The sequence below is a fragment of the Homo sapiens genome, chromosome 4, assembly GCF_000001405.40.
Source record: "Homo sapiens chromosome 4, GRCh38.p14 Primary Assembly".
NCBI lineage: Eukaryota > Metazoa > Chordata > Mammalia > Primates > Hominidae > Homo > Homo sapiens.
Window position 1 is genome coordinate 156,108,164 of NC_000004.12, and position 14,572 is coordinate 156,122,735.

At 36.4% G+C, this 14,572-nt stretch overlaps 1 long non-coding RNA gene across 5 annotated transcripts in view, besides 1 other annotated feature; it reads right to left on the bottom strand.

Annotated features, from left to right (window-relative positions):
* Positions 3,476-4,084: an enhancer, noted in NCBI's record as "OCT4-NANOG hESC enhancer chr4:157032791-157033399 (GRCh37/hg19 assembly coordinates)". NCBI's record gives its function as "activates a minimal SCP1, AML or CMV promoter by ChIP-STARR-seq in naive H9 embryonic stem cells {active_cell/tissue: H9 hESC(naive)}" and the evidence as "EXISTENCE:reporter gene assay evidence [ECO:0000049][PMID:30033119]".
* Positions 4,428-14,572, bottom strand: part of LOC102724785 (uncharacterized) — a 31,284-nt gene continuing 21,139 nt past the window's right edge. For 2 of the 5 annotated variants that reach the window (XR_001741525.1, XR_939391.2), the window contains 3 exons: positions 12,070-12,147; positions 5,625-5,674; positions 4,428-4,590 (listed from right to left, as the gene is read on the bottom strand). This is a non-coding gene — a long non-coding RNA (uncharacterized LOC102724785). The remainder of the gene's footprint in view (positions 4,591-5,624; positions 5,675-12,069; positions 12,148-14,572) is intronic. The other 3 variants (XR_939392.2, XR_939394.2, XR_427618.3) reach the window with 3 other exon arrangements.

Below are 14,572 nucleotides of genomic sequence, written 5' to 3' on the forward strand. Positions count from 1 at the left end.
GTTGGGGCACAGAAATAAGGGATTGGGGTGCAGAGATAAGAGGTCAGGGTGCAAAAATAAGCGATTGGGGCACAGAGATATAAGAGGTTGGGGCACGGAAATAAGGGATTGGGGCACAGAGAAACAAGGTTGGGGTACTTACCCCTCCTCTGGAAAAGCAGGACTTGCCGCTAAGAGTGAAGGAGAAGGGTTTGGGGGTTTCTTGCCCCCCGGAAAGGTAGAGAAGGGGTAGAGACATGGAGAGAAGGGGTTGGGGTACTTGCCCCTTCCCCAGAAAAGCGAGACTTGCCGCTAAGGGTGAAGGACAAAGGCAGGCGTCCCTGTGTGGTCTGACACCTCTGAAACATGGTTGAATAATCAGAGAGGCATCCCTGCAATAATTAAACACCAAGGGAAGGCTGCCTTCCCTAGTCCGTGACCGACACCGGAGTTTTGGGTCCACAGATAAAACGTGTCTCCTTTGTCTCTACCAGAAAATGAAAGGAATTGAAATTAAGAGAAGGGAGAGATTGAAGAGTGGAAAGGAGAAAGTGGTTGAGGGACAGTGAGAGAGGTTGGAGAAGAGAGTACGAAGAGGTCGCTTACCTGATTTAAAATTGGTGAGATGTTCCTTGGGCTGGTGGGTCTGAGGACCTGAGATCGTAGGTGGATCTTTTTCATGGAGCAAAGAGCAGGAGGACAGGGGATTGATCTCCCAAGGGAGGTCCCCCGATCTGAGTCACGGCACCGAATTTCATGCGCGTCCCTGTGAAGAGACAACCTAACAGGCTTTGTGTGAGCAATAAAGCTTTTAATCACCTGGGTGCAGGTGGGCTGAGTCCGAAAAGAGAGTCAGCGAAGGGAGATGGGGTTGGGCCATTTTATAGGATTTGGGTAGGTAAAGGAAAATTACAGTCAAAGGGGGGTTGTTCTCTGGCAGGCAGAGTGGGGGTCACAAGGTGCTCAGTAGGGGAGCTTTTGAGCCAGGATGAGGCAGGATAAGGAACTTCACAAGACAATGTCATCAGTTAAGGCAGGAACAGGCCATTTTCACTTCTTTTGTGGTGGAATGTCATCAGTTAAGGCAGGAACTGGCCATCTGGTTGTGTATGTGCAGGCCGCAGGGGATATGATGGCTTAGCTTGGGCTCAGAGGCCTGACAATTACCATATGTAAACATTGGTCTCAACACTAAGCATACAAGAATACACAGAAGGCAATTTATGATCTAGTTTGGGATCTAGGATATACACATCAGACATTGCCCATTGTAGGGAGCAACTGGCAAATGAATTATATAAATAATGAGGTTGGAAAAGGAAGATATCATTTTCAGTACCCATGGTGAAGAAAACTTTTATTTGTTAAAAACGATATCGTGCAGTAAATGTTTATTGAACACTATCCATAGCCAGGACAGGTTCTGACACTAGGAATACCAAAATCAAATAACACAATGTTATTAAGACCCAAAAACATTATAGAACTAAACAAATATAATGCAATGTGCTAAATGTTATCATTAAGGCATTAATATTGTACTTCGGGGGTTCAAAAGAGAGTTTCTACTCTTCCAGAGAAGTAAGGAATGGTGTTGAAGCACAGCTGTATTTTTGGTGGATTAGGAAGAAGTAGTAAGAGTACATCAGGCAAAATAGGCATAAAAAATAGGTTGTTCTCAGCAAAAGAAGGATTCATGTGCTTGGGTTTTCAGCAGGCTGAGTAGGGCGGGGCAAGGTGTTTTAAAATGCAAGTTTTATTATTATTATTCAGGTATGATGAAGCCAACAGATCAAGACATGGTTGTCACTGAAAAGTGAGTTTGTTACACAAGAGGAAGGAGCGCATCATGCCACACATTGCAACACAGGGAACCGCCAGCAGGGGTGAGGAGGCAGAAGGAGTTGGGGGTTGGGGGAATGTGAGCAACAGCCTTTATTTTTATTTTTTCTTTTGTGGGAAGGAATGAGCAAGGCAGATGCTATGGTTTGAATGTGTGAAAAAAGCATGTATTGGGAACTTAATTCCCAATCCAACAGTGTTGAGAGATGGAATCTAATGTGAGGTGTGTAGGTCATGAGGGCTCTACCCTCATGAACGGATTAATGACAATTTTAAAAGGGCTCGAGGCTACAGATTCAATCTCTTTCTTGCTCTCTGTTGCTCTTTCACCTTCCACCATAGGATAATGCACTGCAAAGGCCTTTGCTGGATGCTGGTGCCATGCTATTGGATATCCCAGCCTCCAGAACTGTGAGCCAAATAATGTTTGTTTGTTTTCTTTTAAGTTATCTAGTCTCAGGCATTCTGTTGTAGCAGCACAAAACAGACAAAGACGACAGGATAAGCAGGCTAAGTAGGTTTAGAAACGGTTAGTGTAAATAATTTCTGTGAGCTCTGAGATTTAGGGACTGACTCTAGTTGTCTGATGCCTGGTTCTGGGATGATTCGGTCAGGGAGATAGTGACCCAGGAGTTTAAGAACTTGGCCTCACCTCAGATGGAGGAGGGGAAGTAGTAGTAGCAGCGTGCTGAATCTAGCCAAGGAGCTGGGGGAATTGCTGGATTGCCCTAGAAACGCCGCCAATTCTTTTCTTTTGCATGATGATACATGTTTCCTGGAACTCGTTAATCCCTGCCTGTTCTTCCTCACCCTGATACTACATGTTCTGTTAACTAAGGCAGGAAGTGGGAGGGCCAACTTGTCTCCTATGGTTTGCTCTGATATGTCTCCTCATCCCTTAATCTCCTTAAAAAGACACTCATGTACTTAAGATAAAATATATAGGTTAAATATCCTGTGTGATTCCAGCTCCATATGGAAAGTGCAAAACTTGTATTGCTTTCTCCTTTAATATACAAATGCCACCCAAGTAGTTACTGAATTTCAGGGAAGGGGCTTGGAGATCTGTTTATTTTGGAGCTAACAAATAGTAAAAGAGCACTTTCAGGAATTTTTCCTTAAGGGCAAATTTACTTCAGGTTTAATAAAACATATTAATTGGACATCAAGCAAAAAGATGAAGTGTGTACATTTCCGTCAAATACTCATGGACCCCTTGTTACATTGTGAGCTTTGACACGTGCTTTTCTTAAAAGCGTCTTTCAGCCCAGGGTCTTTAATCACTTCACAGTTATTGTGACCTTGCAGGTGTACTTATTATCTCTCTTTTGCATCTAGAAAACCTGAGACCCAAGGGTTTCTTCCCTGGAGCTGCGCTAATTTTTCATCTATAAAAATAACTAGTATTTACTGATACTTTACATTCTTTCTGTTTAAAGAAACCACGAATTATAGGGGTTTGTCTATCACTTTTAAATCCAAAATTTACGGTTCTTATTTTCAATTTTCAGGTAGTATCATCATTATGAGGTGATTGTTAAAAATGTGTATGAAAAGGGCTTCTAAATTTTAAAAAAGTATGTGTTTATTCCTACTGAATGTACCATATTTTTAAATGCATTTTATATCCCAATATATTGGAGGACAATTGATTTCAATACCAAACAAATACGTTTTATTAATTATTATAGCACATTTACCATGTTTATTTAAATATTCCCTCCTCACCTATTTTGAGAATATACATCCAAAATATTTTTTATGTTTTCCTGTATATATTTCCGACCCACCCAAGCTCTGAGGGAGCATCTGCAGCTGTTGGAAGAAGATGTTAAGGATGGACCACAGAATGAGGACATTTTAATGGAATTTAATAGCTGAATAGCAGGCACATTCTTAGGCGAACGTTTTTCCTAATGCCTCGGCATCCAGCTGCTTTCCTTAGCCTTCAGTTGGTGAATATGAAAGTGAGTGCTACTGCTAACATCTTACTTAGATTCTTCTCCCCATCTCCCTTTGTTTCTTCCCTCTCAAATGTCTTGAACTGTGATCAGATGCTATATTCGGTGTGTTGCAAACTAAGTGCCACTCAGCTAATTCACTCAAAGGCTGCCACAGTGTCCCCTGTGCTGGTGGACACTAATCCCATAAAGTGGGTCTGTGGCACTTGTATCTCCTTGTGAAACTAACCTGAGACTAAAAAATAAAGTTAAATTCTAAATGTTAATATATAATGGGAATATAAAAACAGTAAAGGAATTATAAAATTCACTACGGTCTATAATAATTGCATGATTTTTCTAGATAAAAGCAATTACCAATATTGAGTCAAGAGAGGCAGCATTATTTTAGATGATATGGCCATCTACTTAAAAACTTAGAAGAATCTACTGAAAAACCATTGAAATTAATAAGAGGGCTCAGTAATACAAGATCAACATTAAAAAATGACTTTCCTGTACCTGTAATGACCAAATAAGCAGCATGGAGACAGTTTTTATTCATATAGAAAATTAGCTTGCAATGTCACTTTTACACACATGCACAAAAATTCTAAGTTGACTACATAGTCAAATAACATATAAAATAATAAAAATAATCAGAAGAAAACATAGAGAAATACTTTATTAAAATTACAGTAAGAATGTTTTCTAGCATATTTATAACCAGGAAAAGAGCATGGTGAGATAATGACAATTACTCTAATATTTGCTTGAGGAAGATTTTAGTTTTTCCATATCTTCTTCTGCTGCAGCTTCAAGTTCGACCCTTGAAAGGTGAGTCAAAAAGAAAAACAAGAAAAGATCAACCTAAGGCTCAGCTTCAGAAAGCAAGTGGTATATAGAATATTATCTTTCACTATTTATCTTACATGCAAGCACAGAAACATTTTGCCAACAGTAAGATATAAGTGGTAGGTTCTATCAAGAGAAAGTTCCATTTGTGTATTTTCTTGGCAGAAATTTATATACCAGTGGATACCAGAGGAGTAAATCTATTTTTAAAGTTCTAGTTTGCTTTTTGACAACTTCAAATAAAATTTCATCAACACAGGTTTGACCACATGAAATTCCAGTCTGAAAATGACCATTAAGATTACAGTCGTTTATCCTTCTTAGGTAACTAATACCTGCTGTTTTTGACCAAAAGTGGGAACAAAAGATGAGCTTCCATATCCCTTGTATAATTTTGGAGCTCTTTATTTGTTTCTTTTGCCATGAGGAATTATTGGTCACTAGTCATCCCAAATACAACCTTCTACTTCAAATATAACCTCAAACTATGATAAAATACTTTTACCTCAAGGTGGAGCTGTTATATTTTCAGAAGAGAAAAAGACTCAACACCTTGGTCTTGTTCTAGAATTTTGTTACAATCCTGAGGAAATGTTATTTTTAATAAGAAATGACAGAAAAAAATGACCATTCCTTTTCTTCTCTCTCTTTTTCTAGAACACAGTGATTAATGTTAAAGTTACAAAAGAACACTGACCCACAGGATCATTTTGTGTGATGACATTGTCTGTTCATTCTGGCACAGGCTGTTTTGAGCATATTTGGCATGGAGCTTCTTTTGTGCAGCTGTATACAGACTATGCAAACATGGATAGAAAGGCATCAAAACCATAACTTGCCTTTGTCAGAGCTTCTAAAAACATGACACTTTATGAACCAAGTTTTGTTTCTGTGTTCTCTGTTGACCTAATTAGGGATATTCTAGACAATTACGGCAGCTTTCCAAGTAGATGTTATCCTGGATATATTCAATTCTAATATAGTTTTATGTCCTTTTAAAAAACTTACCAGAGCCAATTGTATCAGTAAATATCAGCAGTATCTGAGGTAAAGTTTAGCTGAATGAAATAAGAGCATAATAAAGCTTAATTCATCTGGTTCTTTTTTAAAACAATTCTGAGAATAAAGAAAGTCTTTAAGGGGCATTTATATCCTTGTTATATTTATTTTGAACTATTGAAAAAATGTAACTTCTACTCTAAAGGTGTGAATACCACACAAAATATTTCTTTGCATTTATTTTGCAGCTATTTTTAGCTGATGGAGAAGTCTCATTGAAGAACTTTCAGGGGCTTGGATCACAGAGAATATTCTCTTTTTAAATGAGGACTTCATAGGTTTCTCCCTGCCCGCACTATTTTTTTGATTGATAGAGAAAAAATCTTAACCTACAGGATTTTGCAAATCGTAAAAAGCTACATATAGAGTCACTATCACACTGCAGTAGAAATTATGCATTCTATAGCATGGATGGTGACAGCCATAAATATGACAATTAATATGCCTAATATATTGTCATAAAATGCTACAAAATTGTGGAAAATAATAAAAAATTAAAAATTAAAAAGTGGCATTTATTGAAGACAGTGTACTATTGTTTTTATTTATTTTACTTATTGATTTATTTTTTGAGACAGAGTCTTGCTCTGTCACTCAGGCTTGAGTACAGTGGTGCAATCTCAGCTCATTGAAGCCTGCATTTCCGGGGCTCAAGCGATCCTCCTGCCTCAGCCTCCTGAGTAGCTGGAACTACATGTGTGCACCACCACTCCCAACTAATTTTTTGTATTTTTAGTAGAGATGGTGTTTCACCATGTTGGCCAGGCTGGTCCTGAACTACTGACCTCAGGTGATCCGCCCCCCTCGGCCTCCCAAAGTGCTGGGATTACAGGCACAAGCCACCGCATCTGCTGACAGTGTATTATTAAAAACAAGAAATCTTAGGTACTTTGTGACACATCATAAATTTATAATACAAACACAATGTTCATGTTTTTGAAAAATAGGTAGATTTTAAAATGTGGTTTCATAATGCTTTGATGTCAGAGCTTCCCAGTGTGTCCTGATGGGAGCGGAGTGAGATAAAGGAGGAACAGAGCTTCTCATTTTCTCTCAGCTGCCTGATCCTAGTCTTTTCCAGAATTTCCAAATAAAACATGTTTGCTCCAAAATTAAGTCCAAATGTAACTTGATATACAAGCTATCCTTATACTCACTATACTTTTGTTCTATTTTGATTATTAAGTGAGTGATTTTTAAATCGACTTGGATTTCAATACCTATTTTGCTAATGAGATTATTCTGTTTTTAGTAGTGTCGAATTATCTTCACAAGAACAAAATATCTGAATCAAATTATAGAAATAAAGGCCAAAATATTGCACTGCTACTGACTTCAGGGTTGCTGAATCACTTGTAACAATGAATGTGATATTTTTATCAAAAGGTTCATGGGCAAACCCCAACAATCCCCTGGCAAAGTCTCAAGATGTCTTTAGTTTAAAAAAAAGTAAGAGGTCTATCATTAGATGCCACAGAACATGAAATCTCACCGAAAAGCAATGAATTTATTGTTTAAAAGAATATTCTGCCACTCGGCTTTTTACAAAGAATAGATACACTTTTAAATTCTAAAAATGTTAGAGAACTTTGCTATTCCATACCAAATCATTCTAAGATTGTTCCTTTGTAGTCTTTGCTATATTCTATAGCAGCACCATGAAACAGGACTTTCTGAAAACACTGAAATATTTCTATGACCTCACAAAATGAAGCCACTAGCTGTCTGTGACTACTGATCCCTGGAATGTGGTTAGTGTGCCTGAGGAACACATTTTAAAATTGAACTTCATTTTAGTTTTTAACTTAAACTTATCTTATGTATTTATTTTGAGGTGAAATCTTGCTCTTGTCACCCAGGCTGGAGTGCAGTGGCGCGATCTTGGCTCACTGCAACCTCTGCCTCCCGGGTTCAAGCAAGTCTCTTGCCTCAGCCTCCCAAGTAGCTGAGATTACAGGCACCGGCCACCATGCCTGGTTGATTTTTGTATTTTTAGTAGAGATGGGGTTTCACATTGTTGGTCAGGCTGGTTTCGAACTCCTGACCTCAGGTGATCTGCCCACCTTGACCTCCCAAAATGCTGGCATTACAGACGTGAGCCACCACACCTGGTCTTTAACTTAAATTTAAATGGTCACATGTGACTGGTTCCTATCCCATCGGAAGGTACAACTCTAGACACTCCATTATGAGAGTACTTCAGTGCTCTGTCTCCTCAACTCTACTCTTCTCCACACTCAACATCAACACATGCTAAAAAGATTTCTTTTCTGGGATATTAGACTTCAGATCTTGCTGATTTAAATAAATCTCACATTTTCAGGAATACAACCTGAGCATTATTCAAATAAATTGTATATTTGGAAGTGACAGTTCTAAGAAAATACTGCTGGTGAGTACTGTCTCTTCTATATAGTAAATTCCTCACTAATCCCAGATTTAAAGCTGATTTATTTCAAAATAAAATGAGTAGTATTTCTTTGTTGTTTTTCATTCTGCAGATGTAAAGACTTATCCAAATCCCCAGTCAATGGGTTTCTATTTTAAATGAATTCTGATTGAATTACTTATCCTTTTAACTATCCACAGGTGCCCCTGAAGAAACCTTTAACCTATAACTAAACTAAACATGTGTCATCTAGACATTCCTGAGAGCAGTAGCTTTTTTGGAGGCATTTCTCCTCAGGAGTTCTAATTCAGGTAGGGGCCATTTCACTGTCAGTCAAAGTGATATTAGACCTGAACACATTCCAGAACAGTAGTGATTATGGCTGATGGAAGTAGACACTTTTGAAATATTCTCACTTGTCAAATCAATTAAGAAAAGTTTTGGAATCTTATTGCTTAGCCATTTTAATTCAGATAAAAACTTTTGAAAAAGCTAACAGTAAAGTTTCTATAAGACTTTGAAAAAAATCATCTCTAATTCCTATGCTGGTTGATTATAGTTAAAATAAAGGCTTTGATTTAGAGTTGAATCTACTAGCACCTTTCTTCTGAAGCATTGTTATTAATTAGCCAATAATTTGCTAATTGACCTAAGCCAATTGGCTTGCCAGTCACATTTTAAAAATAAAGATTCTATATATTTAAATAGTAATAGTAATGATAATATATTGAGTATTTATTATGTCATAGCATATATTAAGTGCTGTTCCAAATATTGTATACATGAGTTATATATATTATATATATATAATGTGTATATACACACACACACACACACACACATGCACACACAAACTCATTTGTCACTGAAATGACACTGAGATACATATAATAACATTAGTTGCATTTTACAAATAGGAAGCTGAGCCACAGGGAATTTAAGCTGCTTATTTATGGCCTCAGAGATAGTAAGTGACAGCAGCAGAAGCCAAATTCAGGCAGTCAGCTAAAATCTGAGTTTGGATGCTGGTTCTTCAATTGACACTCTTTAAAGTAGAATTTTTCAAACCATGCTGTGCATACCAATTGCATTTTAAGATGTAAATTCTAATTCAGTAGATCAGGCATAGGACTTCAGAATATACAATTCTGATTTTTTAGTTTTGAAAAATAATGGTGTATATTTAAAGTGTACAACTTGATTTGATATAGGTATGCATTGTGAAATAATGACTATAATCAAGCTAATTAACATATTCATTGCCTTATATATTTACCATGTTTTTGATGTAGTGAGCACACTTAGAATCTATTATCTTAGCAAATTTCAAGTATACAAACTGTTTTATTATCTATAGATGTTATCTATAGAGAGATGATTATTCTCAAAGTCTTATAGAAACTTCAGTATTAGCATTTTCAAAAAGCTATACATTCTATTAGATCTCCAAGTTTATTCATCTTACATAATGGAAAGTTTGTACTTCTTTCCCAGGTGATGTCAATGCTGCCATTCAGGGACTCAAACTTTGAGGAGCAATTCAGATTAACAAAAATAAAAAAACTAATACAAACTTGGAATTTGTATTGCTGGGGTTTTTTAGATCCCAAAGGGCTCTCAATCTGTGTTCCATTTATACTTTTAAAGCAGAGGTCCTCAGGATTTTTCTATAAAGTGCCAGATAGTAAATGTTCAGGTTGGCAGGACATACGGTCTTGGTAATAATCTGAAGTAGTTATATTGCAATGAAACTTTACTTACAAAAATAGTCAGGGGCTGGATTTGGTCCACTGGCTGTAGTTTGTCAACCCCAGTTATAAAGCACATAAGAGAAAGCTTATTTAAAAGTGCATTTTGAATATAGTGTTCTCAAAATACCAAAAATGTCAAATTATTTGTCAGAGACCATTTGGTCAGTATATGACTCATTTTTCAGAACCAGTTCAAATCCTACTTTTTCTGGGAAGTCTGACTAATTAGCACTTAATCTAAATACATGCTTAGCTTCATGTACACTTCCCACAGGAGTCAAAATTAATAAGTACCTTAAAATATAGTAGATATAAATTTAAAAATAAAAACAAATTATGTCTAAGTTGGGAGATCAAGTGTCAGATATTAGGTAGCATTTTTAGGTTAATCATGAAGCCTGGACAAAATTTGACAGGTTTAATAAAGAAATTCAAAGGGGGAAGAAACAGACCAAACCAAATGTATGTATGTTTATAAAGTTAGAGACTTCTGGTTTCTGGTCAAGCACCTAAGGAGTTTAGAAGTCTTCACTCAGTCCTAGCAAAAGATAAAAAGCTGAACAAACTAAAACATTAAAAACTCTTCTTAGCTCCATCAGACAAGTGGGGTCTCAGGACAAATCTACTGCCCCAACAATTGGAGAGATAGGTGCATACAGAGAATCACAGCTTACTGGAGTAGAAATCCGTTAGTAGAAACCTTCATAGCAACAGTGCTGGGTTAGAAAAATCTGAACAGTAGTTGATGGATAGCTGGAGGCTCAGAATGTACAAGTCTGAGAGTTAAAAACTCTAGGGGGACCCTCAGACTCTTACAACTTTTATTTCCAGGAATTCTACCAGATCCTAACAGTGAATACTGGAGAAAAATCCCCTCATGCCTCTGGCAAGGGAAGGGGAATAGGAAACATTTTGAAACACACCAGAGAATTCTCTTCTTCTTAATTAGGCCTACCCTCAAAAGAAACTAATTAACCAGAACCTAACCTGCTGGGATTATATCAGAGCTTAATCTACCTAAGGGTAGGGAAATACCCAACTGTAGCCCATCTAGTCATTTTGTCTCACCTAATGTGGGGAGTAGGGAGACTGAGAAAAGTCTGCAGTCCAGAGGCATGGGATTACCGTAAGACTGAGATGTAATAGTAGGACTATACATCACTTCCTGTCCACTCCCTTCTTACCACTTTATTACTATAAGCCTGTTTATAGAAGTTTCTTTTACCTGGCACAACACATCTACCTTTCAACAAGGTGTAATAAAAAAATTAACAAGAAACACTGAAAGGCAAAAGAACTGTTTGAAGCGACCTGACAATCATCAGAGCAATATTCAGATATGGCAGGAATGTTGGAATTATCAGACCAGGAATTTAAAAAAAAAAAACAACTTAAACTATGACTAAAATGCTAAGAATAGAACACAATGTGCAAGAACTGTGGCATAACTATAAATAGATGTAACTTATACATAATGATAATGCTGGAAAGAGAAGAAGGAGAGATAGGAGCTAAAGCAATATGGACGCAAAAATTACAAATTCCCTAAATTAATGTCAGACACCAAACTACAGATCCAGAAATCTCAGAAAATACCAAGAAGAATAAATGCCAAAAAAGTACATCTAGGCATTTATCATATAAAAACTTAGAAAATCAAAGCTGAAAAAAAATCTTGGGAGAAACCAGAGGAAAAGAACAGTTCACCTATAGAGGAGCAGAGAACTACAACTGACTTCTCCTGAGAAACAAGGAAGCAAGCAAGCTTGCTGCATAGCAAGAAGAGAGTGGGATAAAATATTTTAAGTGTTAAGAGATAAAACCCACCAACTTAAAGCTCTGCACCTTGTGAGGTTATTCTTCAAAAGTAAAGGAGCAATAAGGATTTCCTCAGAAAAATAAAAATTAAGGGATTTTTTTTCATTAGTAAACCTGCCTTGCAAAAGAAGTTCTTCATAGGGAAAAAATTATGTAGGTCAGAAATTCAGATCAACATAAATAAAGGAAGAGCACCAGAAAATGCATAAGTAAAGGTAAAATACTAACTTTTCTTTTCCTTAGTTGATCTAACAGAAAACAATAATAATAATAGCAATAGTGTATTCAATTATGTACACATATATGTGTGTATATATATATATATACATACACATATATATGCATGCTTATGCATATGTGAAATGAATGTAACAATACTATAAGGACAGAAGGGAGAAGCTAGTAATATTTTGTTATTATAAGGTACTTGGCTTACCTACGTGGTGATATGGTGTTATTTGAAAGCAGGTTTGGATTAATTGTAAATTTATGTTGCAAAATTCTAAGGTAACAACTAAAAAAGTACAAAGAAAAAAAGTATAATTAACATGCTAAGAAATGAGAGAAAATAAAATCAGAAAATATTCAAACTGTAAAATATATAATGTGATCTAATTTGTCCATTTTTACTATGGTTGGCTGTGGTTTTGAGGTCTTATTCAAGAAATCCTTCCCCACACCAATATCCTGAAATGGTTCCCCGATGTTTCATAGTTTCAGGTATTAGATGTAAGTCTTTAATTCATTTTGATTTTGTTTTTGTGTAAGGTGAGATAGCAGTCTAGTTTCATTCTCCAGCATATAGATATCCAGTTTTCCCCGAGCTATTTGTTGAATAAACTGTCCTTTCTCCAATGCATGTTTTTAATACCTCGGTCAAAAGTGAGTTGAATGAAAATGTGTGGATTTATTTCTGAGTTCTCTATTCTGTTCTATTGGTCTATGTGTCTGTATGCCAGTACTACAATGTTTCAATTGCTATAACTTTGTAGTATAATTTGAAGTTTAGTAATGTGATGACTTCAGCTTTGTTCTTTTAGCTCAGGGTTGCCTTAGCTATTCAGGGCTTTTTCTGATTCCATATACATTTTAGTCTTATATTTTCTATTTCTGTGAAGAATGTCATTGGTATTTTGATAAGGATTGCGTTGAATCTATACATTGCCTTGGGTAGAATGGACATTTTAATAACATTGATTCTTTGATTCATCATCATGGAATATCTTTTCACTTTTTTGGTGTCTTCTTCCATCTCTTTTAGTGATGTTTTATAGTTTTCATTGTAGAGATCTTTCAATTTTTGGTTAAGTTTATTACTGTGTATTTTATTTTGTTTGTGGCTATTGTAAATGGTATTACTTTCACAGTTTCTATTTCAGACTGTTTGCTGTTGGCATACAGAAATGCTATTCTTTTTTGTATGTTGATTTTGTATGCTGCAACTTTACTGAATTTGTTTATTGGTTTGAATGGTTTTGTTTGTGGAATCTTTAGGTTTTTCTGAAATTAAGATTATATAATCTGCAAACAAGAATAATTTGACTTCTTCCATTCCAATTTGGATGCCATTTATTTCTTTCCTTTATGTAATCTCTCTGGCTAGGACTTCCTGTATTATGTTACATAAAAGGGTGAAAGTGGGCATCCTCATCTTGTTTCAGCCAGGCACACTGCCTCATGCCTCTAATCCCAGCACTTTGGGAGGCCAAGGTGGGTGGATCACCTGAGGTCAGGAGTTCGAGACTAGCCTAGCCAACATGGTGAAACCCCGTCTCTATTAAAAATACAAAAATTAGCCGGGTATGGTGGCGCATACCTGTAATCCCAGCTACTCGAGAGGCTGAAGCAGGAGACTCACTTGAACCAGGTAGGCTGAAGCTGCAGTGAGCCAAGATCATGCCACTGCACTGTAGCCTGGGTGACACAGCAAGACTCTGTCTCAAAAAATAAAAAATAAAAAATAAAGAAATAAAAAGGAAAGGCTTTCTGTTGTTCTCCTTCAGTATGATACCAGCTATAAGTTTGTCATATACAGTTATTATTGTCTTGAGGTATGTTTCTTTAATACTCAGTTTTTTGAGAGTTTCTATCATGACGGGATATTGAATTTTATCAAATACTTTTTGGCATCTATTGAAATGATCATACGGTTTTTAATCCTTCTCATCAAGCTACAAAGCTTCTGGATAGCAAAGAGAATATTCAACAAAATGAAGAGGCAAACCACAGGATGTGAGAAAATATTTACAAACTACCCATCTGACAGGAGATTAATAACCTGAATATAAGGAGCTCAAACAACTCAATAGCAAAAAGTCAAATAATCTCATTTAAAATGGAAAAAATATCAGAATAGGCATTCTTAAAATGAGGCATACAAATGGCCAACAGATAAATGGAAAAATGCTCAACATCACTAATTGTCAGAGAAGTGCAAAACAAAACTAAAATGAGACATCATCTCACTCCAGTTAAAATGGCTTTTATCAAAAGACAGGCAAAGCTGGCATGTTTGAAGAAAAGGGAGCCCTCATACACTGCTGGTGATAATATAAATTAGTACTGCCAGTATGGAAGACAATTTGGAGATTCCTCAAAAAACTAAAGGTAGAACTACCATATAATCCACCGTCACAATAGCCAGTCTATGGAATTAACCTAAGTGTCCAGCAGTGGGTTAATGAATAAAGCAAATGTAGATATACAAAATGGAATTATTCAGACATGAAATGAATGAAATCTTATCATTTGTAGCAACATGGATGGGACCAATTATTATGTTAAATGAAATAAACCAAGCATGGAAAGACAAATATCACATGTTGTCACTCGTATTGAAAGCTAAAAAAGTTTATCTCATGGAGTTAAAGTAGAATGATGGTTACCACAGGCTGGGAAGAGTAGTAGGTGGGAGAGTGATAAAAGGCTATATTTCATGG